General features: G+C 41.6%; 1 protein-coding gene across 28 annotated transcripts in view, besides 2 other annotated features; it reads left to right on the plus strand.

The window, feature by feature from the left end:
- The window catches only part of RBFOX1 (RNA binding fox-1 homolog 1), a 2,473,620-nt gene that overhangs the window by 1,319,650 nt on the left and 1,126,087 nt on the right, over positions 1–27,883 (plus strand). The window lies entirely within an intron of this gene.
- Positions 13,882–14,383: an enhancer, noted in NCBI's record as "H3K4me1 hESC enhancer chr16:6623253-6623754 (GRCh37/hg19 assembly coordinates)". NCBI's record gives its function as "activates a minimal SCP1, AML or CMV promoter by ChIP-STARR-seq in naive H9 embryonic stem cells {active_cell/tissue: H9 hESC(naive)}" and the evidence as "EXISTENCE:reporter gene assay evidence [ECO:0000049][PMID:30033119]".
- Positions 14,384–14,883: an enhancer, noted in NCBI's record as "H3K4me1 hESC enhancer chr16:6623755-6624254 (GRCh37/hg19 assembly coordinates)". NCBI's record gives its function as "activates a minimal SCP1, AML or CMV promoter by ChIP-STARR-seq in naive H9 embryonic stem cells {active_cell/tissue: H9 hESC(naive)}" and the evidence as "EXISTENCE:reporter gene assay evidence [ECO:0000049][PMID:30033119]".

Raw genomic sequence — 27,883 nt, forward strand, 5'->3', positions numbered from 1 at the left:
CGTATGTATACATATATAGATATAGATCCACACACAGCTGCTAGTACCACTGCTGAGATCATCTCAGCACCATCTTCTCTTTTAGAAAGAGGAGAAGAGTTTATCCTGAACTATGCATTTTTTGAGAAAACATGAATTTCATGTTGAGGAAATGGGAAGCTTTTTGAACTGTATGACTTGAGTCACCTGTCGTGTTGGAAGGACATTGGAAAATAGGACGTGTGGGTGTATGTGTATATATATACATACATACATGTATACACACACACATATATGTGAATATATACCCACACACACAAATAAGTACATAGGTATATATCTGTGTATATATATCCCTCTATAATCTGTGTGTGTCTATATATCTATATCTCTTTATATCCATATATTGAACACCTACTATGTGCCAGGCGCTCTTCCTGCATTTGGAACTTGTTGGTGTAAAGACGACAAACTGAAGTTGTTCCCTGAAGCTCCCTTATCTGCCTAAAGTCTGGACCCACTAAAAAAGAAAACAAGAACCTCTGGTTCCTTCCCTGAGTTCTCATTAATTGAACTCATATTGCAGGAAGAAAGACTGATGTTTTCCAACCCACATGAACAGACTTTTGTCACAGGCCATTGTTCTTCAAGCCCATTGAGTTCCCGTAAAAATCACTTACTACCTATGCTAAAATCATCCACACTTTCCCATTTCCCTTTCCCCTAAGAAGAAGGATATATAACCATCTGTATCACATTGTGCGGTGGGGTAATCACTCTGTTATTCTGCCCCATGCATGGTAATCAATTCGTTTGCCATTTATCAAAAAAAAAAAAAAAAAAAAGTCAAGCCCTCATGAAGTCAATATTCTAGTTGGGGGGAAAAACAATGAAAAGTGTGCGTGATGCCTGAGCAAATTGTGTTAGAACATGAGCAGTGCTATGGAAAAAAGAAAACCAAAACAGAAAAGGATGAGGAGGGCAGGAGAGTGGGGGTGGAAGAATCCATTGCAATTTTACATGAGGAGGAGAGGGCCAGTGTGGGCCTTACTGTGAAGGTGACATTTTGGCATAAAGCCAGCTGCATGGATTTGGAAGAGCATTCCAGGCAGTGAAAACAGTCAAAGCAAAAGATCTAAGGCTTGAGAGTAGCCGTCTGTTCAAGAGACAATAGAAGGGCCAGAGGGAGTGGAGCGGAAAATAGCAGGGAATGAGTTGAGGGAAGAAGCAAGGTGAGGAGGAGGTGCAAACCACTTAGGACTTGTAGGCATTCAGGGCCTTTGGATTTTACTTGAGTAAAATAGGGTCTTGACTTACATTTCAAATGAATAATTTGAACTTCTGCATTGAAAATTGATTATGAGGGCGCTTAATGCAGTTTATAGCTGTGTACTTGTGTGATTATGTGGTTGATGTCTGTCTCTCTCATAGACTGTAGGCCCTAAGAGGGCTGGAGTACTGTCTGACTTGCTCTTCATGGAATCTCCAAGATCAAGCCTAGTGCTTGGCATGTTGCTGTCCAATAAATATTTAATGTGAAAGGATAAAATGAATGCAGGCCACATCAAGATGATGCTAGTTGGCATTCATCCCTCAGAGGCATGTGCTGTAGATAGTCAATGTGCAAATTTCAACTTGTATCCATCCACTTAAAGACAACTTCAAACGCACCCTCCAACCACAGGCTTAAGTTGAATTATCTGCTTAATTGTTGCTATGTGCAGCTGTTTTTCATTAGTGCTGTTTTAATTTGCAGTCTATGAACTTTGATATTTGTAACAAAAAGTAATTGGATACTAGTCTGGAAGGCTTCCCTCCTTAAAATGAATATGCTTCACGCCCAAGCAAATGACTGGAAAGGTTCCCTGCTGTCTACTAGGGAAAAGATTCACGGGGGCAGGGGCTGTCCACAGCAGACCAGAATGTTACAGTCTGCTGGGTAAATGTTCCATGGTTTCAGAATTAATATGCATGCATTCCGTAATACATATTTACCTGGTAGTCTGTAACCATTCAGTAGAACTGTTACAGTCTAGTAAGTAAATAACATGTTTTTCAAAATTAGAACGTGTACCAAATATGTATTTACCCAATAGGCTGTAACAGTTCTGAGGAAACCTTCCCTGTTGTTAGTCTATCAGGCTGACTTATGGATATGGGTTTAATGTTGTTTTGAATATGAACACAGTATAAAGGAAGATGTGTGATTTTTAGAAGGGCGAGGGGTTGTCATGTAGAACAAACCAATTTTAGGAGGAAAATTCAATTCAGTTGCAGAATCTGTTCCTGCTATTCTTTTCCTTTCTTTTATTTTATCTTTTTGTTTTTTCTTTTATGCTAGTTGCTGGAAGATTGCTAATGACACCAGGATGAATTTTTAAATACTGTAATTTAATTATTGGTAACATAATATGGCTTTATAAGTGATTAGTGGACAGATTTCTGAACATGTGTAGGGGCCAGTTTTTTAGTTGCTAACCTCATGGCCTTGGAGGAATCCACAAGTTGGATTCTGGTGAATGATTTAATGACGGTATTGGCAGCACTTTGCCTAATGAGTATGTATCACTCTGGCCTAGGTAAGTCAAGCTAAAGCTAACCACATTCACATCATCCACCTAGATCTGTTATACAGGAACAAACTGTGTAGAGATCATTATGAGGCCATGTTGGTGCTTTAAGGCATGGAGTTTTCAGCGGGATATTACTCATTTCCATCATTACTGATGTTCAGCTGCATTTCTACTGATGTCGGCTGCATGGGTAGAGAATTAGACTCCATAGTTCAAGATAGTTCATGGGTAAGTAACATTGTAGTCAAGAGTTTGTGGCTCTGGAATCAGATGACTTGGGTGCCAGCCCTCTGAACTTGTATCAGTGATTTAACCACTTTAAGACCTGATTACCTTATCTGTACAATTAGAGATTGCCTTATCTGCACACTAATTGTACAGAACAGTCATTGTACAGATAAGGCAACACTAGTATTCACTTTATAACATTCTTGTGAGTGAAATAGTATCCATAAACTGTGTATCACTCTTCAGAGCACATATTGAATATTTAATAGGCATCATCAACTTTTGTCTATGATCACTGTGGAAATTCAGCTGTGCTGGCATACAGGAGGTATATGTAGCAGGATTAGCAAGGGTGACTCAGTCCAGGTTTCCAAGTATTTAGTTTGGAAGTAAATGAAGACACGATGTGTGTAATTGGATATTTCACTAATAGGTTATAAGTGGTTGTGCAAGTTTCTAAACATCTTGCATGTACTAATAAATACTTTTAGTTGACAAATGAGAAAGCAGCCATGAATCTGAGTCTCTTACTTGGAACCAGGTGAAACAGTGATTTATGAAATGCCCTTTAAAACTCCTTGGAGGTTCACATTCTGCACAAGTTGCTTTTTTTCTTTCTAATTGAGAAAGCTGCTATATTTTGAGTCTGTGTAAGCAACTGCAGGCCTTGATTCTTGATTCTTTTCTTTCTTTCTTTCTTTCTTTCTTTCTTTCTTTCTTTCTTTCTTTCTTTTTTTTTTTTTTTTTTGCATAGTTGTTACTGTTTCCTTGGGCAGAGAGCCATAGGATGAGTCCCACAGCCCTTTCCTGGGTATGTCCTTCTGTGCAATGTACCTTCCATGAAGCTTACCAGCATGTTTTATCATGTGTTCAATGTCATTTGCACAATTAGACTCAGATGCTGCAGGGGCAGGGGGCCATGGAGTATACTCACTTCTTCCAAGTGCTGTTTCCCCAGGCCCAAGTGCAATGCCTGGTGCAAAATGAATACTCAGGTGGTTCCTGTGTTGTCGTCCTTTGTGACTCTGTCTCTCTGAATTAGTTCTAGTCCATGGCACTGCGTGACTTCCAAGACAATTTTAGCATCCTGTGCAACACGCATGAGATTTAGAAGCATTGTCTGTTGACATTATTCTTTATGAACATTTACTGAGAGCTTACAATGGGCCAGGCACTATTCTAAGCATTTCACATCAATATTTCATAGGAATCCATTTAAGTCCATCTTATTATTACCCTCATTTATCAGATGAGAAACTGGGATCCCCCCTAGATTGGATGTGTATAAGTTATTGAGATGTAAGTCAAAAAATTTGGTGCATCCCTAGAGCCCAGAGTCCCTTACATCTACTCTACCTTGTCTCCCAAGGAAAATACTATGGTCAGGAGTTGGGTAAGCCGATAAAAAGATGGCTGGGTGTGGTGGCTCACGCCTGTACTTCCAGCACTTTGCGAGGCCAAGGTAGGCAGATTGTTTGAGCTCAGGGGTTCACGACCGTTATCAGCAACGTGGCAAAAGCTCATCTCTACAAAAATACAAAAAAAGTAGCCAAGCATGGTGGCACACACTGGTAGTAGGGCACACACATCAGTAGGGCTTGGGAGGTGGAGGTTGCAGTGAGCTGAGACTGAGCCACTGCAATCCAGTCTAGGAGACACAGTGGGATCCTGTCTCCAAAAAAAAAATATATATATATGTGTGTGTGTGTGTGTATGTATGTATATGTATGTGTGTGTGTGTATATGTGCGTATATGTGTGTGTGTGTATATATATATATCCCATTAGGTCTGCCTGCCACAGTGGGGATCATTCTTCAACATGAGATTTGGAGGGGACAGACATGTAAACTACAGCACCCATGTTGTTTCTGCTTCTTCCCAGCAAGCTATTTCTAGCCACCCTTCACCTCCACCAACCTTAACCTCACAATCACTTCTGGATGTTCTTGTAGCCTACACTGTGGATTGTTCTAGGCTCTTTAATTTTCTGTTTTCCACGAAAGTCTGTAAGCTTGATGAGGATAAAAGCCATGATTGCCTTGCTTACCCTCACTGTGAATGAATGAATGGAGTGGTGCAGAAACTCAAGAGCATCATGTACATATGGAACATGCTCTATGGTTTTTAATGAAAATATGTGGCAGTATTGGCTGGGCTGCAGTGCATACAGTGGAGTATTATTCAGCTATAAAAAGAAGGAAATACTGTGTTCGTAAAAACATGGTGTGAACCCAGGAGACAGAGCTTGCAGTGAGCCGAGATCGTGCCACTACACTCCAGCCTGGGCAACAGAGTGAGACTCTGTCTCAAAAACAAACAAAAACAAACAAAAATAAACAAACAAACACATGGGTAAACCTGGGGGACACCGTGCTAAGTGAGATAAGCCAGGCACAGAATGACAAATACCGCATGATCTCACTGATATATGGAATCTAAAAAGCTGAACTCTTGGAAGCAGAGAGTAGAAAGGTGGTTGGCAAGGTTTGGGGGTGGGGGAAATGGAGAGCTGTTGGTCAAAACACACAAATTTCAGTAAAAAGATGAACAGGTTCTGAGGATCTTGTTCCCCAGTGTGGGTGGTGATGGATGTGTTAATTTATTTGATTGCGGTAATCATTACACAAGGCATATATAAATCATCACATTGTACACCTTGAATCTGTTCAGTCCTTATTTAAAAATTTTTTAAAATTAAAGCATTTGCGGCTGGGCACGGTGGCTCATGTCTGTAATCCCAGCACTTTGAGAGGCTAAGGTGGGAGGATCACTTGAGGTCAGGAGTTGGAGATCAGCTTGGCCAACATGGTGAAACCCCATTTGTACTAAAAATACAAAAATTAGCTGGATGTGCTGGCATGCACTTGTAATCCTGGGGAGACTAAACAAGAATTGCTTGAACCCAGGAGACAGAGGTTGTAGTGAGCAGAGATTGCATCACTGCACTCCAGCCTGGGTGGGGAGACTCTGTCTCCAAAAAAAAAAAAAAAAAAGCATTTGCAACAGGGAAGGTAAACTACAGTGATAACAAAATACTACTCATTGTAGAAAAGACAAAGTACAAATAGCCATAGGCCCCCAAATGTGAAATGACTTTTTCTTTTCTTTTCTTTTTTTTTGTCTGAGACAGAGTCTCACTCTGTTGCCCAGGCTGGAGCTCAGTGGCGCGATCTTGGCTCACTGCAACCTCCATCTCCCAGATTCAAGCTGATTCTCCTGCCTCAGCCTCCCAAGTAGCTGGAACTACAGGCGCCCGCCACCATGCCTGGCTAATTTTTTGTATTTTTAGTAGAGATGGGGTTTCACCATGTTAGCCAGGATGGTCTCGATCTCCTGACCTCGTGATCCACCTGCTTCGGCTTCCCAAAGTGCTCGGATTACAGGTGTGAGTCACTGCGCCCAGCTCCCAGATTCAAGCCGATTCTCCTGCCTCAGCCTCCCAAGTAGCTGGAACTACAGGAGCCTGCTACCACGCCTGGCTATTTTTTTGTATTTTTAGTAGAGACGGGGGTTTCACCATGTTAGCCAGGATGGTCTCGATCTCCTGACCTCGTGATCCGCCCGCTTTGGCTTTCCAAAGTGCTGGGATTACAGGTGTGAGTCACTGCACCCAGCTCACTTTTTCTTTAATTTTTGCTATAAGCTCACCTGATGAAAAAAAGAGCTGGAAGGATTAGCAGCTATGTGAGGCTATCAATCAGGGTAAGACAGGCTATGCTGTAGTAACACATAACCCCCAATATCCATGGCTTAAAAGAACCAATGTGCTTTGTTTTTGTTTTTGTTTTTTTCCTCACATATTTCTCTCTGTTCATCCTGCACTGGCTGGGAGTGCTACTCTATTTGTTCTTCATGCAGGGTCACAGGTTACACCTCTTCTGCGATTACCAGGACAGAGAACAAACAGAGTTAATTGCACACTGTTCCTTCAAGGTGTTATCCCAAAGTAATGTGTGTCATCACTGTTCAAATTTATTAGCTAAAACAAGACATTCAGCTATGCCTAAGTCCAAGTAGGCAAGGAGGTACAATCACCTCCGTTGTTTTGAAGGAGAAACATAATTTTTTGGTGAAAAGCAACTGAGATCCACCACGGTGAGAAAAAGCCACAGGCCAGTCTCACAGCATCATGGCGAACAGCTATGCCTAATTGCACCTCGATTCTAGGTGTGATCCTGTCAAAAGCAGTACCTTTAAGATGTGTAGTTATAGTATTGTCATTCTAAAATATGTAACTTTTAGGAATTTTGTGGCTAGACGTAGGGACCTCCATTTGATTTTTTTTTTCTTCTCTTCTTAGTGAGCCTAGTTTGAAATGTTGGCTTTCTTAATCTACAGAGACTTTGTCATTAATGTGTAATGAATATCTGGTTTCAAACCATAGGCTGCTTATCCCTTGACTATTTGTCGAGACCTTTGTTTGCCGAAATACTGCTTTATTTCATTTCTTATTATCTTTAGAAGGTATTACTGATAGGTATTCATTTTGACCCCTTTACGCACACTCCTCAAGTCTGTCTTCTCCACAGGCTAAATCAGTATTCCATCCACTTTTCATCTTTACTGTTCCTGGCACTCTCATCTATATGAGAAACAGGATCTGTGTTTGACAAGCATGCTTACCCTTTGCTTACTGTTTTAATAAAAATTTCTATCAGCGTTTTTATCTGCAGTAGCAGTCGAGACACTGTTTGATATTGAGATGCTAGATTTCATGGACTTTGAAATATTTTCCCCATATCTTTTTTGGCAAGTCTTTGAACATAGACCACAAAAAATTGACATGTTGGAGATGAATTTACAGACTCTAAGTTAACTAATGACTACCTGTCCCAGCTTAAATTGTGTTCTAGGATTGAAACATTATATTACACAGTCAAATCGTTGAAATTAATGGTCAGACTCTTCCATAACTGAGTTAGTTTCCCATGAGACTGATACTCTATTAAATGAGCAGGCTGTCCAGATTTCTCTGCATCGCCTTTGGTTTGGGGATAATGTTGACCCAGTCTTGGCAGTTTCAAAGCAGTACCAAGCAGTCAGACTATTTTAAATGGGGAATGATGAATAGCAGCTTCCTAATCTCCAAATTTCATTCAGATACGGTATCTTATTTCATCCCCTTTATCCTGTGAGGCAAATTATTATTGTCCTGAACACAGAGAGATGGGGAAACTGAGGCATGGATGTTACTCTGTGTGCTGAAGATTATACAACTACTGAGTAGCTCAGGTTCGTTTGGTCTTTCTGTCCCTAGATAGCCTCTTGGCTGGCAGTTCTCATGATTCAGGACTCTTCTCAAATATCTCTCATGAGAGAGGCCTTTCTTGGCTGCTCCAGCCACAGAGACAGTCACCCTGGTTCTCTGCTCTGTCACCTTCATAGCACTTATTACTATTTCATTGTGTTTCTTATGTGTCTGCTTGTTCTCAGTCTCTGTCCACTTGAGAACAAAGGAAAGGACCTTGTCTCTTTCATTTCAGCGCCACATCCCAGCACTACACCAGTGCCTGGCACCCAGTAGATATTCTGAAATGTCAGTGGATGGATGCCTATTTACATACTGTGCTTTTCTTGTCCCTCAGGGCCACATTTTTGAGTTGGTCCATACAAAGCAACAAATTAAGCATTTAGGGCTTTATGGACAAACCCCACTATTTTTTTAAAATTTTTTAAAATTCCTTTTTAGAGACAGGGTCTCACTCTGTCACCCAGGCTGGAGTGAGTGGTGAGATTACAGTTTGCTGGAGCCTTGAACTGCCAGGCTCAAGCAATCTTCCCACCTCAGCCTCCCGAGTAGCTGGGACTACAGGCGCATGCCACCATGCCAGGCTAATTATTTAAATTCTTTGTAGAGGTAGGGTCTGACTATGTTGAACAGGCTGGCCTTGAACTTCTGGCCTGAAGTGGTCCACTATTTAAGGTCTTTGACAGTGCAGCTTTACGGGTAATGACATGTATTAGTTATCTAATACCATGTAACAAATTACTCCCAAAGTTAGCCTCTCAAAACAACAAAAGTTTCTTTTTCATCTCATAGAGTTTCTGAGGTCCAGGAATCTGGGAGTGGCTCTAGCTCTAGTTTCCTTGTGAGGTGGTGGTTCAGTACATCAGCTGGGGCAGCCGTCAGTGACAGTTGGAAGTACTGCTTCTAGACTCACTCATATGGATATTGGCAGGCCTCAGTTCTTCACCACATGGGCCTCTTTACAGGCTGCTGGAGTGTCCTGGAGACATGGCGGATGGCTCTCTACCAAATTGAGTTATGAGACAGAGAAAGCGGGGAGAGAAAAGGGAGAAAGAAGGGAGAGATGCTAAGATGGAAGCCATAGTCTTTTATAACCCAACCTCAGAGTGACATACCATCACTTCTGCCATGTTCCATTGGAACTCTTGTACAGTGTGGGAGGAGATGGCACAAAGGCACGAATAACAGAAGATGGGGATTATCTCAGGGCCATCTTGGGGGTTCATTCTCATGTATCTTATTCTGATTCTCAGAAGAGAGCCCTGGATAGAACATGTAACTCTGTATAACAGTAAATCATTTCCTAATGTCTTCTTCCATTTCAGGGGCCAGTTGGGTGGAAAGTTTGATTACCAGTGTGCTTATAACTCTTTTTTTTATTATTTTTTGAGATTGAGTCTTCTCTGACACCCAGGCTGGAGTGCAGTGGCGCGATCTCGGCTCACTGCAACCTCCGCCTCCTGGGTTTAAGCGATTATCCTGCCTCAGCACTGCCCCCAAGTAGCTGGGAGTACAGGCACGTGCCATTATGCCCACGTGATTTTTCCATTTTTAGTACAGATGGGATTTCACCACATTGGCCAGGCTGGTCTCAAACTCCCAACCTTAAATGATCTGCCTACCTCAGCCTCCCACAATACTGGGATTAGAGATAGCTCTTGGATAATATGCTACTTAAGAATACAGATTCTGGTGTCAGCAGCCCAGCTTTGAATACTCTCTCTGCCTCTTGATATCCATGTAAACTGAGGATATTTTGAAGCTTTTCTTCTTACAGAATTGTGGAAGCAATGTATAAGTTATCTAATACTCTGTATTAGTTATCTAATACTGTGTAAGAAATTACTCCCAAAGTTAGCCTCTCAAAACAACAAACATTTCTTTTTGTTGAATGAGTTTTCATCTCATTGCTGTAGAATAGGATCCTAGTAGTATCTACCTCATGGAGTTGTGAGGATTCAGTAAGTTACTTCATGTGATGCTCATACCAGAATGTTTGCCAGACTAAGGGCACTTAGGAAGTGTTGACTTTTATTCTTTGGATTATCCCACAGCTAATCAGTGCCAAAGTAATTGTTGCTTCCCATAGCTTATCCTTCACTAGATGGAAGTGTCCTAGACAGACCTCTGAGACGAAGTCAGTCTAAACAACTTCTGGCAAGCTATGAGCTGTAATTGGGTTAAATAGTTGCGACGTGGAGAAATCTACTTTTCTGTTGCAGAAGTTTCATGGGCTCTGTCAACCTTTCTGTCCATGGGTGGTTTTCTGTGGGAACCCATCCTGTGAGTACCTTGACAATAACAGCTTACCTACCATCCAGAATTTAGTATTCTCCCTTCATTCTCTAGAGAAAACCCAAGCATACCTTCCTGAGTGGTTGGCCAGTGGCTGAATTCCACGGCTGTTTCGTTAAGTTCTCTTTAAGCAGATTTTTCAAGTCTTCCCTATTTATATCTTTTGAAATCCAATCTCCTTCAATCAATTTTAATCCCCTAATGTGTTTGCTATAAGTACTGTACAATTCACTTGTCCTCAATAATAAAATTCATTTTGGTGCAGCCTGCCGGTAATTTGTTTGAGAAGAAGTCGTTAGGAAACCCTTGCATTCTCTTCTGGTTTAGAGGACGACCTTCAGTATTGATAGCATTTTGTTGTCATGCGCTTGAAGTATTCTTTCATGATTGACAGTGCCGTTTAAATAATGGACTACAGAGCCATGTGCTTAAATGAAATCTGACTACACTAATTTCGTTATATATTAGGAAACTTCAAGTGTTCTACAAGGACACGATTTCATTGACCATGGATTTATATTTTCAGTTTGTATGAATTATACCCATTGTGTATTGTTCCCCCTTCACTGTAAGATACTCTTTTGTTTTGAAAATCAGTGTTTTTGTGTTTTAACTCTCAATGTATGCTGCATAAGCAAAGGATTGTGTTCCAGGCCCCTCCTGGAACAGGCCAAAGTAAGTAAAATCGAGAATTTTTTATATGAAAGATAGAAGAAGTACAGCATTATTGACTCAGCTTAATACTGAGTTAATACACTCTAATAAGGCTCAGAAGATATAAAAGATCCACTGTACTCTCTCTATATATATATATACACACATACATACACATATAAAATATAATTTATACATGTATGCTTAATTGGAAAAAATAAAGATCAAGAGCATGTTTTATTGTTTATCTGTATCTCTAGCTTTTTTTAACAGCATATAAAGACAAAGCACCTTTTTATTTAGGCTTGGCTAAAAATTATCAGTCATATGTAGATGATTTTGCAGTATCCGCCAACTTCCTACTCAGGAAAAGTTATAGCAGATGGCAGAATTTATGTGCCATGTGGCATTTGTTTAAGTGTGGAAATAGCTAATATTTTTTCCTCAATTATTATAACTATTTTACTTTTAAAGACTCAATTAACTTTGAAATACCATTCTTGATGGGTGCCTCAGTTAAGGATGGGATGGGGAGAAGGAAGAGAAATTTGAAATCTTGCAGGGCCTTTGATTGAATAACGGTTATATTGCTCATTAATCAGAGGCTCTGGGTACCCTGTTTTCAAAATAACATTATTGTTTACTAAATATAGACTCCTGTGGAACTGTTAAGGAGAAGGTCCTACTGAGATGAGCAGGCATTGTGGATTGGCCTTTCTACTACCAAGGACTGGGATTCACATTTGCAAGTTTGTGGGTCCTCAGGGAGAATATCTTGGAGTTGACATCATTTCAGGCATATAGCCCGTAATTTGTTTTGACAACTACAAACAAAAGGGGTCTATTCCCAAAAGGCTTCTTCGAAAATTGTCAGAGGCTCTTGCCGTTGATAATGTGAGCTGCTGCTCCCAGGGCTGAGGGCCTGAGAACCACAGCAGGACTGGAATCCAGTGGGAGGAGCAAGGAAGCTGCAGGGGGTGACGGTGGGCATCCTTCCAGAGAGAAGGGCACATTTGAAACCTAGGAGACCATTCCTGTCAGGAATCAATATCAGGTGACTGTGATCTATGGCAGAGACCCAGTGCTCGGAGTGATTTTTTTAAGTTGTGTATGCTTCATATAGATTTTCTTTCCTGATTTGAGTTTTTCTACTTGGGTGAAATAAAAGGCAAGGGGTTTGTGTGCTGGGGTAGTCGGGGAGAGAGGAGAGGATTTGATGGAGAACATCAAGGACCTGTTGCTTGCCTGTTTTCTAGGAATCCTTACCTGTAATCAGCTCATTACAGAGAATCTTGGGGTTCTCTTGAGCCTGCTGAAGGCATGCCTCCTGAGATCCATTGAATAGAGCAAAAGGATCAGTCAGGAAATATTTATTACACAGAGGAAAGAAGAATGCACCAGCAGAGTTCTGGGCCTGCTGCAGCCACTCAGTAAATATTTTTTGAGTGAATTAATTTATCAAAAAAGCATATGTAAAAATATGAGTCATTATCATGAGTGGTTTGATTGAGGATGATATTTCTTTTCTTAGTTTTTACAACTGTTGGTAACATTTGATTAATTACTTTTATTACAATTATGATTATCATCATTTTATATACAGTTGTACTCCTTGCCTGTGTTAACAATTTGGTGATAGCCTTTCACATTTTTATACCTTTACATGGCCTGTATAAGTATACAGTTTTGTCCTAATATACATGAAATAATAAAAAGTGGATTTTTCTGCCAATACACACTTAGCAAGCGTTCCAGGGTCTCTTTATGTATTAGAACATAATCTCATTGTCATCTCATTCTTTTTAAAACGTTACTTGATATCCCGTCGTGGAAGTATAATATTTATTTAAATATGTTTTGCCTATATTTGATTTCATAATGTATATTTTTAAGTGACAAATCTGTATCAAATTCTATAGGACATAGAGAATAAACCCATGACTCTTCCAAGTTGTCTGAGATCTAGTTATGAATTTTGCACATTTTCTTAATGAGTATGTTCTGCTTTTAAAACATTAAAGGTTGAAGAACGTTTTAAATCTACTTACAGGATCAAAACTATGCACATGAAAAGAATGTCTAACCTTTGTTGGGCTCTTATCTAAGAGACACTAAGCGTGCATGTACAAATATATATAAACTCATTAAAATCCCTTCCATTATTTAGCGTGAACCGTAGCATAGCCAGGCAAGATTGCTGAGTCTTCCCCAGATGGACAGCTATGTTTTCACATCTTCCCACCTTCTCTGTCTTTTTTTTTTTAGACAGAGTCTCACTCTGTCACCCAGGCTGGAGTGCAGTGTCACTATCTCAGCTCACCGCAACCTCTGCCTCCCGGGCTCAAGCGATTCTCTTGCCTCAGCCTCCCGAGTAGCTAGAATTACAGGTGTGAGATATGCACCCAGCTAATTTTTTGTGTCTTTTAGTAGAAACGGGGTTTCACCATGTTGGCCACGCTGGCCTCGAACTCCTGACCTCAAGTGATCCACCCACCTTCGCCTCCCAAAGTGTTGGGATTTCAGGAGTGATCCCGCATGCCCAGCCATCAATAAATACTTACTAAGTGCCTACTTTGTTCCCAAGAGTGCTGGGAACTTAGCAGTGAACAAAATAAATACCTTCCCTCGGGGACCTTGAACTCAAGTCTAGTCAGGGATCACTCTATTAAGAGATCAAGTCAACACTCAATTCTCCTACAGACTCAGATAGGATAGTATTTTAATTTCTCGTTGATCTGCTCCCTCAGACCCTAGACCATGGGCACTGCAGATTTTTGCACCTTTTGTAGAGGCAGGGTTTCACCACTACCAGAGACTTTACCATCATTTCTATGTGAAGGGAAACAGTGCCCTTTCAGTAGACAACGTTAAATCAGCCATCAGACGTGGGTCATGGTGGGTTTGCCGTGACTGCCACAAACACGCCTCACCGAAGTCTGCCAGGGGACGCCATACCCTCCCCTAGAAAGTAAGAAACAGAGAAAGGCTTTCTCCTGCCCCGGACTGTCTTTCTCTCAGCTCTAAGAAATTTCTTTACAGCTGTTACTTTATCCTGGCCTGTCTCTTGAGTAAGAAAACTGCTGGAAAGAGTCTGCCATTCACTCAGATCATAATCAGGGAGCCTGCTGTCACTCAGGAAGGGCTTTAAAAAATTCTTCTGATTTACTGTGAGTGCAAATCTCTGATATTCCTGCATCTCCCCATCCATCTTATTTTGATTTTACACATAGTGCGATTTTGAAAGGAAGCGGTGTTTTTGGAGAGGTAGAAAAACTCTGGAAAATAAGGCTTATGACGTTGGCCATCAGCACGGGGCTGCTGTCTGCTGTGTGACATGCTCAGGGGTGACGCGCCTCCCGAAAGAGACACTTGGTAGAGAAGGCACGGGCGCGAAGCCCGGCTGCGGGAGAGCTGGGAGCCTGAATGTCGCTGGCTGCCGTTCACAGCAGGCTCTCTCTGAGCACCGTGGGGAGGCAGTGACACCCGCTGGCCTCGCAGCGACACTCCGGCAGCTGTCCTGTTTTCCAGCCTGGACGTGATAGGTGTGTCTTGGAGGACAGTCAGAGGAAGACAGGCAAGCCATACTGGCCTCCCTCGAGGTTATACCCTCGCTTAGGTTAGGTTGCTTCTAACAGACATCCTCCGCGGGCGTTGAGGCAGCCAGCTTCACTGTCACCCAGACAATTTTTCTCTCGCTCTGCCAACCCTGTTCCCCTTTCAAGAATGTTTAAACTCTTCATTCAAGCGATGAGAGGGAAACACTTGAGCTGCACACTCAAGGAGATGTGGGTTTCCATTCTGGCCTTGCGATATATTATTGGTGGGACCGTGGGTGAGTCACTTAACTTCTCTAGTCCTCAGTTTTCTTATCTGTAAAGTGGGCTCCAGCATACGGCTTAACTGAGGTAACACACGTTGTTCATGTCAGCTGTTGCTTTCATGCCGGCTCTGCCTAGGTCTCCCCATGGCAACAGGATAGGAGTTCTCTGCCTGTGCGTCAGTTTTTCACTAGCGTGGGAATGCTGTGAGGAGGGGGCGGAACTCGGTGTAGCAAGGGTTTCTGTCCGTATCTTCTATTTTTTTTTTTTTTTTTTTTTTGAGACTGAGTCTTGCTCTGTCGCTCAGGCTGGAGTGCAGTGGCGCGATCTCCGCTCACTGCAAGCTCCGCTTCCAGGGTTCACGCCATTCTCCTGCCTCAGCCTCCCAAGTAGCTGGGACTACAGGCGCCCGCCACCAAGCCCAGCTAATTTTTTGTATTTTTAGTAGAGACGGGGTTTCACCGTTTTAGCCGGGATGGTCTCGATCTCCTGACCTCGTGATCCGCCCGCCTCGGCCTCCCAAAGTGCTGGGATTACAGGCGTGACTACCGCGCCCGGCCCGTATCTTCTATTAAGAACCAGCAACCACGGGCTGGGCGTGGTGGCTCACGCCTGTAATCCCAGCACTTAGGGAGGCCAAAGTGGGCGGATCACGAGGTCAGGCGATCCAGACCATCCTGGATAACACGGTGAAACCCCGTCTCTACTAAAAATACAAAAAATTTGGCAGGCGTGGTGGCGGGCGCCTGTAGTCCCAGCTACTCGGGAGGCTGAGGGAGGAGAATGGCGTGAACCTGGGAGGCGGAGCTTGCAGTGAGCCGAGATGGCACCACTGCACTCCAGCTTGGGGGACAGAGCGAGACTCCGTCTCAATTAAAAAAAAAAAAAAAAAAAAACAGCATCCAGGAATGCTATCGTGTAGTTGCTTTGAGACATGGCCTGGGGTCTCCCCGCAAGGCGACAGGACAGATTACGACACGTTGTTTGAAATCTGCCTTTAGAAAAAGACACGGCCTCATTTTATGCCTGTGAGTGATTTTTCTTCTGTGTCATATCATAACTCTGATAAAGATAATTACATCCTAGTGTCTAAAGGCAATGATGTGCTTGATTAAGCCTATGCATGTTGTTTGGTCCTTGTATATTTATATTTTCTTCAAATTTAAATGGATACTAAGTCCTCTCAACATTGTCTATAGATTGCTGGAAACTGTGACTTTAAGCAAAATGACGTGTAACAGAATACCTTTTACCATGAGCTGATTGATACAAACAAGAGTTAAGTTCCTGCAGCACATTTCTGGTCATAAAAGCATCACTGATCTTCTAAATAAAGACCCAAAACACTTCTAAAATTAAACATGAAAACACATGTGAACCATACATACATTTTAAAAAGATTAATAAAGGGCTAGGCACGGTGGCTCATGCCTGTAATCCCAGCACTTTGGGAGGCCACGGTGGGCAGATCACCTGAGGTCAGGAATTTGAGACCAGACTGATCAATGTGGTGAAACACTGTCTGTACTAAAAGTACAGAAATTAACTGGTGTGGTAGCAGACGCCTGTAATCCCAGGTACTCGGGAGGCTGAGGCAGGAGAATCGCTTGAACCCAGGAGGTGGAGGTTGTAGTTAGCCAAGATCACAGCACTGCACTCTAGTCTGGGTGACAGAGTGAGACTCCATCTCAATAAAAAATAAATAAATAAATAAATAAATAAATAAATAAAGATTAATAAAAACATGCAAGATAATTTAGCCAGTTTTTGATTAATCAGTGATGGTGGTGGTAGGCATGGTGCGTTACATCAAAAAATAATTTTTTATTTTTGCAAAGCAAAAACTGTCAGGAGCACCTCCCCCCATCACACAGTTCAAAAACAATGACTAGCATGGCAGGCTCACTGGGCACCTTCATACCGCATTGTTTATTGTTGTGCACTTTTATGATTAGCATCTACTTTATCAGTTTTTATTTGGCAGTCGTGAGTATTCATTCTTTCATTTTGCAACCTGCTTATTCCAGTTCAGGCTTTCGAGTGGGTGGAGCCTGTCGTAGCATCTCAGGGCACAAGGCAGGGACCACTCTGGTCAGGATGTGCTGACACACACACTCACTCATGCTGAGACGACGTAGACATGCCATTTCCCCAAACACGCACATCTTTGGGATGTGGGAGGAAACCGGAGTACCCGGAGAAAACCTACGCAGACATGGGGAGAAGATGCCAACTCCACATAGTGGACCCAGTTGGGAATCAGATTTTTTTCTTATCAACATTGTAACATAATATTATTCGAAGACCTGCTGTACTCTGAACTGTTCATTCTTCTAAGGGTCTTAAAAACTTGAGGACATTGAAATGCTATGGCTCACCCTCCTATTTTCTTTCTTAGGTATGTTTTTACTGAGTCCTCTGAACCTTCTTTGAACTCCAACTGGGAGGAAATAACAGCTAATGGGGGGTTGTTCCTATTTTTGTTGGCAGGGTGAGGGAGGTGGTGACTGAGGTCAAACTATGTGGAAGGATATTTTATTTACTAAAACAAAAGAGGCAATAATTTTTTACTGCAACGTTAGGGATTTATGCTAGATAAAAGGAAGTTCCCACAATCCTGGGGGAAGGGTGTTAAGCCAAGGCAAAGATTTCACAGCTGTTGGGAAATTGCTTTCTGAAAATACTAAAGGATACAGTGCCAGAGTCACTGGCCATCTGCTAATAATTTATGTTCCTCATCCCCAGCAAAGATAAAGAACCTGTAAAGAACCACCCATCTAGGGATACATTTCCAGCCCCCCTTTTATCAAAGCGGTGACATGTGACCGAATTCTGCCCAGTGACATGTGGGAAGAAGTGGCTCTTTCAGGACTGTTCCCCCAAAACTGTCTTTGGGATGCTCCAAACTTCTTTATTCCCCCAATCCTCTGATGAACATGCACCTGACATTGGATGCTACATGTTAAAAACGGAGTTGTCATCTTCTACCTGGGTCGCTGAATGACTGTGTGGATCAGGAAGCTCCCCACTCTTCCCTGCCATGACTGAACTAGCCACTGTCATCTGGAGGGTGTCTGTAATAGCATCTAGCATTGCCTAACATCATACTAATGGAACACTACATATTTTCATCTGAAGTGATATCAGTGGAATTTCCACTGAAAGCAAAGGTTTAGATTTTGGAGCAATAATGCTTAATATTTGTCAGTAGGAGCTTATTAAATATAAATACCAGTCCCAGTGCTTAGAACTTTTTATGTGCTGTCTCCTTTCATTTTCCTTCCAACTCTCCAGTTTGTATCAGTCGGGGAACACCAAGTTGTGCTGTGGTGACAAATAGCTCTGAAATCTCAGTGATATAACACAACAAAGGTTTATTTCTTGCTGATGAAGATTCACTGAGGTTCTGGGACACTCTACAGAGAAGCTCTTCTGCATGTATTGGCTCATCATTCCCAGTGGTTTTACTCTTAGGAACCCACCATGTCAATAAGTAGTTCCACATGGTCCCAGGGGAAGTCCACCTGGATGTCTCACAGTGGTAGTCAAGTGCTTTGACAAGGAAGTGACACACCCTACTATCACCAAATCCCATTGGCCAGAACCAGTCACATGGCCTCCTTTTCCCTCCTGTATCCCTACTATGTGCTCAGGAAAAAAATAAACCAGATAGTGAAGCAGGAAGGACTATATGGAAGGATATTTTATTTATTAAACAAACGAGGCAATCATTTTTTACTGCAATGTCATACAAATGAGAAGGCTGGGATTCAGAGAGCTTCAGTCACTAGGACAAGGTTACCCAGTTAGGAAAGCACAGGTTTTGTGATGAAGGGTGTCACCCAACAGTGCTTATTTCATTGAAGAGCCATTTCTAAAATTACTTTTCTGTGTTACAACAAAAAATAAGGTAATAAGTTAGTCCTCAAGCATCTTGCAGTTCAGAGCTGGAAACAGACAAGTAAAACGACCAGTTACCTGCATTCTAACTACTACTAGACATCAGATAGCACTTTACATATCATTACCTCATATCTTACGTAGTGATAAGGGAATGTGAGAAAACTTTTGCAAGTCATCACAAAACACTTTTTTCAGGGGCATAAGAATCTTGGCCTAAAATGGATCATCATGTAACAGGCTGAGAACAGGGTAGTGGGAAGTTAGCGAAGCAATGTCCCCGGGACACAGCAGTGGGTGAAAGTGTGTTGTGATTCATGACCTTATGGATGGACGGTGTTCTCATCCATCTGTCCTTGGCTGGGTAGCTGATGGAACAGTGATCTGCTTCTCTGGGTATTTGGGAGAAATAAATAAAAATCCATGGTAAAATGAAGCTGTGTTCTGCATTTTACTCAGCACAAGCATTCTGTCCTAAACTCCAAACATTGTGCCCAATGGGGATGTCGGCTATGGGTATTGGTGTGTGTGCGTGTGTGTGTGTGTGAGCATGGGAGAAACAGAGGGACATAGGAAGAGACAAAAATATAGAGAAGGAGAGAGAACCCCAGAGAGAGAGAAACAGAGAGTGAAGAAGAAACAGAATATTTTCCATTTATTTCAAGTCAGTTATCCCAAGTTTTAGTGGGATCAAAGTAAAATAGATAAAAATGTATTTATTAAATATAATATAGATTTTTTTAAGTATATTTCCTGGTTGCTAAAAAATAATCTTTGCTCGAGGCATAAGAATGATACAATGGACTTTGGGGACTTGGGGGAAAGGGTGGGAGTGGGGTGAGGGTAAAAGACTGCAAATTGGGTACAGTGTACAAATTACGGCTCTGGTGATGGGTGTACCAAACTGTCGGAAATCACCACTAAAGCACTTATTTATGTAACCAAACACCACCTGTTTTCCCAAAACCTATGAAAATATAAAAATAACAAATAATTTTTGAAAATATTTGCTCAAAAATGAGGCTACTGAAATGATGTTATGTTTTCTTCTATTTTGGTTCTACCTAGAGAAATTTTAATGTTTTATGCCAAGCTGTTCATGCTTAGTTCTGTTTTTGTTTTGTTTTCTTTTTTGTTATTGTTGTTTTTGTTTTTGAGAAAAGGTCTTATTCTGTTACCCAGGCTGGAGTGTAGTGGTTCAGTTATCGCTCTCTGTAGGCTTGATCTACTGGGCTCAAGCAGTCCTCCCACCTCGGTCTCTTGAGTAGCTGGGACTATATGCATGCACCACCACACCTGGTGATATGGTTTGGCTTTGTGTCTCCACCCAAATCTCATCTTGAATTGTAGTTCCCATAATCCCCATGTGTCATGGGAGGGACCTGGTGGAAGGTAATTGAATCATGGGAATGGTTACTTCCATGCTGTTCTTGGGATAGGGAGCGAGTTCTCACAAAACCTAATGGTTTTGTAACGGGCTTTTCCTCCTTTGCTCTGCACTTTTCCTTGCTGCTGCCATGTGAAGAAAAGCCTGTTTGCTTCCCCTTCCGCCACGATTAGAAGTGTTCTGAGGCTTCCCAAGCCATGCTGAACTGTGAGTCAGTTATACCTCTTTCCTTTATAAACACTAAGTCTCAGGTATATCTTTAGTAGCAGCGTGGGAACAGACTAATACACTTGGCTAATTTTTCAATTTTTTTGTAGAGACACGGTCTCACTATGTTGCCCAGGGTGGTCTCAAACTCCTGGTCTCAAGCTGTCCTCCCATATCAGCCTCCTAAAGTGCTAGGATTATAGGTGTGAGCCACTGCCGCCAGCCTTCAGTCCTTTTTAAAGTGGTATACATATTCTATGTATAGGTTCATGGACCTGTTCATCTTTTTTTTGTTGTTTTTTCTTTTTTCTTTTCTGAGACAGAGTCTTGCTCTGTCGCCCAGGCTGGAGTGCAGCGGTGTGATCTCAGATCACTGCAACTTCTGCCTCCCGGGTTCAAGTGATTCTTCTGCCTCAGCCTCCCAGGTAGCTGGGATTACAGGTGCCCACCACCGCACCTAGCTAACTTTTGTGTTTTTAGAAGAGACAGGGTTTCACCATGTCAGCCAGGCTGGTCTCGAACTCCTGACCTCATAATCTGCCCTCCTCAGCCTCCCAAAGTGCTGGGATTACAGGCATGAGCCACCATGCCCGGCCAGGCCTGTTCATCTTTTAAGGGTTTATGTTGTTTGACTTTTTCCATCACAAATTTTTATTCACCTCAGTTTGCTGATAACTATTTCCAGGTAAGCTGGAGTCATAACACACATTTGCCAATTATCTGGAGAGGAGCACTACTTCCTAATTATGTGGTCATTGAAGAGCTAGTTGATCATTAAGCTACACTGATATGCAAAGCCACAATAATAAACAGCAGGCAAGATTAAAAACTCCGTAAGACATAATCCCTTATGGTCCTCTTCATAAACATACAAATAATGAAAAAATAAATACACGTTTGCTCAATTCTGCAAAACCAGAAATGTCACAGGGGGGGATGCATAATAGTGATTGTATTGAGGGACCAACCTTGGTTGATTCTTTTGTGGGGTATACACAGTAAACTCAGACATAAACCTGCAAGGTAGGCATCATTATTCTCCTTACCTTTCTAGAGATGAGACCAGCTGAGGCTCAGAGAAGTAAGTTCCCTGGCCCCACAAAGCTAATGAAGCCCTGGAGTTTAGATTCAGACACAGATTCTGTTATCCCCAAAGACTAAGACCCTCAAAACATGTCAAGTGTTAACCGATGCCTAAATGGAACTCAATTTTTCCAGAAAGACCCTGCATATCTCATTTGGGCTTGCTTTTTTTTTTTTTTTTGCCCTTTTTTTCCCCCAAAATCATAATTGCAAAGGCAAGCTTCTGAAGCATTGATCAAGAATATATTTTGCTTTGGATGAAGAATGTGAAAAATGTGATTTTAGAAGAATGCTGTAAATATTTCTCCCACTTCATTTTCTTTTCCCTTCTCCTTTTTCCATGCTGTGCCTTTTGAGTTATCCCCATATACTCTAAGTGCCAGGTAGGTCCACGTGGGACAACCAGAGTCTAATGAGTTCCTGCGCCACGCCCACCCCTAATGAAGCATCTTCAAGTAGGATTTCTAAAGACCCAGGGAAGCTTTCCCTTTGGTGATTTGCAAAGTCTGGCCACTTTAGAATTTATCTCCTGCACAGGGTTCTGTGTCTTTGCTTTTTCGATGATCCCTGTGAAGCATGAACCCAGCACCCTTGCCTTCCTCTTTGTTGGAGATGGTGGTTATTTGTTTGAGTCTTTTAGGGTGCTTTATTTTGTTGGTTTCACTGTTGGCAGCTGGTACAGGCTTCCTTCCCCCAGCTGTGTTGGCTGTTGTTTTGGGAAACAAGCCTTGCTCTTTTCCATGCAGACCTCTACCCTGGGCTCTGATGGTCTAGCTGAGGTGAAGCAAACCGTAGGTGAGTGCCAACAGGGGATGGCCCCTTCCTGGGCAGAAGGCGGATATCGATCTCATGTCAGTCATGTTGCCTGTCTATGAAAATACTACATGAGCTTCTCAGAAACAGGTGATCTATTGATCCCCAAGCTGCTAAGGGGGCCTCCCTCATGGGTTCTGCTTAGCTCCTTAATGAGGGACTCACAGCTGTGTTTATGGAGGTCACCTGGAACTAGAGGCAGGTTTTACTGGGAACTCTCAAACTTTGTGAAAATTGGATGTGTGTCCCAGATTCTTAGCTTTGGTGTTATATCCCTCAAAGGATGCCACTGAGATTACATGTCCAACACAATCAGAGGCATTTCAACATGTCAAGGTTTTCTTTTGCCCTAGGCATTCATATAAACCAATCGTTATGAAACCGGGGCATTTTTGCTTCCCAAAGGATATTGATAATCTTTGGTTGTTGCAGTTGAAGGGATGCTACCAGCATCTAGTGGGAAAAGCCAGGGGTGCTGTACTGCTGCACATCTAACAAGGCAAAGACCAGCTCCCCACCCAACAAAGAATTATTGGGTTCAAAATGGCAATAGCATTGAGGCTGAGAAAGCTGATTTAAGTCATATTAAAATGGACCCCTTGTAAATATAAAACACAATTTTGTGATAGTAAAAATTTCCAAAGAATTTTTATCACTTTCCTATTGAAGTGAATTAACTCTTAATAGCTCATTGAATTTATGATTAGCTATTATTTCTCAGTAATCATCGCATAAACTTGAAAATTCTGATGAGAAAAATAATGTACAACTTATTTTCCAACATGATAAAATATTTATGAACACTAAATTTAACAATTAATGATGCTGACATAATGTTGCATTTTGGAGAAATATAATTAAGCAGTTATTAATTTTGTCTTTGTTCCTTGAAATGTTAGCGCCAATTTTTTTTTTTTTCAATTTTTAGATGCCCTTGGACCTCAAAGGCCCTGACACTGCATGTGGAGTCAGGTGCATAAAACATCCTTGAATCTATTAATTCTGGGCCTCCTCAATGAAAGGTTAAATTCATTTAAAATACTTAAATGATGACATCGTAGATCCAAGAGGTCAAATAAAATAAGGATTTAGTCTTTTTTTCTCTCCTTTCTTTTTCCCTCCACCATTTCTCTCTTCTCACTTCTTCATTTCTCATCTTCTTCCTCTCCTGACCGCTCCTTCCTCCCTTTCTCTTCTTTCCTCCCCTTTCTTTCCTTCCTCTTTCCCTTCCCTCCCCTTTCCTAGCTTCCCCTCCCCTCCTCACCCCTTTTTGAAATGTTGGAGTTCATTTCAACAGAAACAACTGAGCTACAGTTCCAGCTGGTTTTCTAAGCTACAGTTCAATTATTACTATTATTTGCAATTTTTCTCCCCTCCCCTCCCCTCCTCTTTTCTCCTTTCCTTGAATCTATTAATTCTGGACCTCCCTCTTCCTCACTCTTCTCTCCTCTCCTCTCTTGTCTCTTGCTCGATGTCTCTCTCTCTCTCACCCTTCTCTTTGGTGTTCACTCCATTCTCAGGTAAATTCTCCCCACAAGGAAGAGGATGGATAGTATCAGAGCCAGCATTCTCCACTCAGAAAGCCAGCTGGAAGATAGAGATCTCATTTCTTGGTTGCTTCAGCAAAAGGCCCAGGAGTAGTTCTAATGGGTCCTAGCATAAATAAATCACTGTGGTCCGGGGCACATGGCACTCATTGGCCAGCTTGGAACACATGTGCAACTTCAGGACCAGGAACTACCTTTCCCTGAGACACTTGGTCTGACAGTGGGAAATGGGTGGGTTGCGTGCAGAGCAATGGGCCTGCTGATGCCAAACAAGAGGAATGATACCAGCCAATCAACAAATGTCTGCTCCTTAAACAACTGCAATGTTAAGTTTTGGGGGAGCATCTCACACTAGCCCTGTGGATGAACAGTGCTTAGTCAATGGAGGAAATAACTAGAACTTTATTAGCTTCCATTTTACATTTTATTCCTTTCTTCCAAGTAATTGGGATTGGGGAGAGCATCTTGTTACCTGTCGCCTTTTTAACTGGATTCTATCCATTCTCTGTAACTCTTAGTTCTTTGCTCTCTGGCTGGTTTTGTCAAGGTAACTAGGTATTTTAAATCACAGTGCAATTTCTTGTGGCTCAGAAAACTGAACTGAAGTAGTAACTTTTAATAGGTCAATTACATTATTTTTCAGCAGCCTGCTGCAGCCTAATGAAACTGCAGTTTAATTAGGTTGGTGTGACGCCAAAATAAATGTTTCATTCCCAGCTTGTTTTATTTACTCATTGAAAAGTAGGGGAATCTACAAATAATAGGATTGGAAAATGTTAAAGGCTAATCAGTTTGGCTGCACTTGTTTGTAAAGAAAGACGATTGTATCTTCATCACTCCAGTTTGGTAGTTGAGAAAGCTGAAAAACAAATAAACAATAACAACGACAACAACATTTAAAAAAAAAAAAGAAACTCAAAATTGTAGGATTCCTTAGTAGAAGGTTCTTTTAACAATAATAAAGTCAACTGCAAATACTGAAAGACCATTCAGAAAGAAACGTAACCAAGTCAGAGTCTCCTAATGTATTCTGTGTTCCTATTGTGTGGTAAGCATTGTCCCTGCTGTAATTACATCTATTTTCTCAGTAAAACAAAGGGAAGTCTTGTAGATGAAGTTTTAGGGCCCATCAAAGGTAGTACTCTGAGTGTGATCAAACCACACTTTCACTATTTGGAGCTCAGTGAGTTAGGAACTAGAAGAGCAGAGAACAGCAGAAAAGTTGTGTTTTATTTTCATTATTATTATTATTATTATTATTATTATTATTATTATTATTATTGAGACATGGTCTTGCTCTTTCACCCAGGCTAGAGTGCAGTGGCATGATCTTAGCACACTCCAACCTCTGCCTCCTGGGTTCCAGCAATTCTCTTGCCTTAGCCTCCCAAGTTGCTGGGATTACTGCCCTTCCCCACCACACCCAGCTAATTTTTTGTAATATTAGCAGAGATAGGGTTTTGCCATGTTGACCAGGCTGGTCTCAAACTCCTCACCTCAAATGATCCACCTGCCTTGGCCTCCCAAAGTGCTGGGATTACAGGCATGAGCCACCATGCCCGGCCTGTGTTTTCTTTTAAAATACAGCACCCCTGAATGACCTCTAGCTACTCCCAGTCCTTCCACCCTCAGCTGGAAGATGTGAATTGCCACCCACCAAGGCAGGACCAGCCTGGCACCGATCACTGAAGGATTGTGATTAAGTCAGATGGTTTTGCCAGCAGCCTCCAGCCGATGTCTCATGCTGAGCTATTGTTTCAACAAAAAATGAGATGTCTGGTCATGTTCTCTCTTCCTGGGGCAGAGATTGGGGACCTGCGTTGAAAACCAGTGACAACTTCCCTTTGCCTTACTGAAGATAAAGGGGAATCAGGCAAAAGGATGCTCAACCAAAGCTGCAGGCAAGCGGATTCCCAGGCAGAACCTGGTCAAGGCTTTGTAGGCATCACTTCTTCTCTGAGACACAGAGAGCTTGGCATCTCTGTGCACTTTCATAATACACAATGGTTAGCATTTTAATCTCTGGCAGCCTCATGCAAAGAAAAAAATTATTCCAAGGCAGTGCCAGGAATCCTAATGTCCTCCATGGTATTTTTCCAAAACAATTCCTTAATAGATAACTATCATCTTTCCTATCTTACAGAAGAGGAAACCTTTATCGTCATGTAGGTGTGAAACAAGAGGTACATTTGCAGGGCTGCCATGAAGCATTGTCATTACACACATTTATGGTGTGAGGAAGTGCTGTTATAGTCTCCAAAACTTTGAAATCATCTCTTCTTGACTTTTACTTCGACTCTTTTTTCAATTTTAATTCTAAGGTTGACTTGTATTCTCGGTCCCCTTTGAATAGAACCTTAGATCCCCCATGTCACATTCAAAAGACATGTTTCAAGTGCCGTTTTTCATCTTGACATGTTTTGCAAGGTCCTTGCCTCTGTGACTTTGAGATCTGTTTAATTCACTGCGGTGGGCTGGGTAGGACTCTTCCAGTCTTGTGATAGTGCTGTGTTGCTGGTTAGATCAATGACATAGACTCTTTCTGTTTAAGAATAATGCAGTAAGCAATGGTGAATGCTTGGAATGATAACTGTAATCATGCACCTGTTCACTGCAGTTCAAAGGGGGCAAAAACAGGTGTACCTTTGCTGGTCATCACAGCAAAACTAATTTAGTTTTTTTCTTCTTTCTTTCTCTCCTCTTTGACAATTTGTGTAGGGGTCTGTGCATTAAAATGGATAATTTTAAGGAAATTCTGTAAAATAGGTATGCATGAGTATTGTAGAAGTATCATGTAGTAGAGATCATACGCAATTATTTCTGTATTAATTAAAGTGTGTCCAGATACCTTTAAACAACAGTTTTAAACGTTCAAAACAGTGGAATACATGTTGCCCAATAAGTGAAATAATATATACTGCAATGTATAGAACAGGTACTAGCTGTATTTAATAGTGAAGTTATGCTTAATTTGAAATGCTTCACATTTGTTTATAAATCCATCATCAGAAGCAATGTTTGTTATGATCAATTCAGACGTTTGGAATCAGGAGGTCCAGAAGGCAGCCGTAGGCAGTTGTTTGTGCATTCAGACTACAGAGTATCAAGAAAATCCCAATTTGCTCAGATAGGTAGGTGTGAAAACCAACAATTTCTTTGAACCACTCGTCTTACAACCTCAGTGTATTCTATATTGTGCATAGATGACAGAAGAAACATTCATTCCTAAGATACCTACAAAATGAGCAAAACCAGCAGCATAAATGGACCCAGTAGTAATCTATCTCCAGTGCGTCTTAATTTTGTGCATCATCCATTTGTGACTTTCTTTTGTTCTTTCTGTTAATCAGAGATCTTTTCAGTGGCAGGTGACATATGCCCAACTTGAATGGCCTTAAGGAAAAAAACAGTATTGTCTCATGTGATTGAAACATCTATGTATATATAGCTGGTTTGGGGCAAAGCTGAATCAAGATGATCAGATGATGTTGCCAGGAATACTTCTTCCCACATTACACACTCTTCTGTATGCCATGTATTTTCAGGCTGTTCCCTTAAAGTGGCAAGATGGCTTCCAGCAGGGATACGCTTACATCATCCCAGCTCAGGAGCCTGACGGCAAAGAGAACCTTCTCTTCAGTGGTTCAGGATAAGTCCCGGCCAGATCTCAGTTGCTTACCCATCCTAAGAAGCAGGGTTTTGTTTTAACTGCACTATCACCACGTAATTATAGGAGAAAGGGAAAAGGTTTCTTCAATGAGTCTTTAAAATATTTAACATTAAAAAATTGACACTAAAAATTGTATATTATGTAAAACAGGATGTTTTGAAATATATATATATTGTGGAATGCTTAAATTGGGTTTAAATGAGTTAAATTAATACATGCATTACTTCCCCTGTTTATTGTGTGTGTGTGTGTGTGTTGAGAACACTTAAAATCTATTCCTTTAGCAATTTCCTAGTATACAGTACCTAATTATTAACTGTAGTCACCATGATGTACAACAGGTCTGTTGGATTTATTCCTCTTATCTAACTGAATTTTTTTTATCCATTGACTAATGTCTCCCCAGCTCCCCTCTCTCCGCACTGGTAACCACCATTCTGTTCTCTGCATTTATGGGTTCACTTCTTTAAGATTCCACAT

Source organism: Homo sapiens, chromosome 16 (assembly GCF_000001405.40).
Source record: "Homo sapiens chromosome 16, GRCh38.p14 Primary Assembly".
NCBI classification, from domain to species: domain Eukaryota; kingdom Metazoa; phylum Chordata; class Mammalia; order Primates; family Hominidae; genus Homo; species Homo sapiens.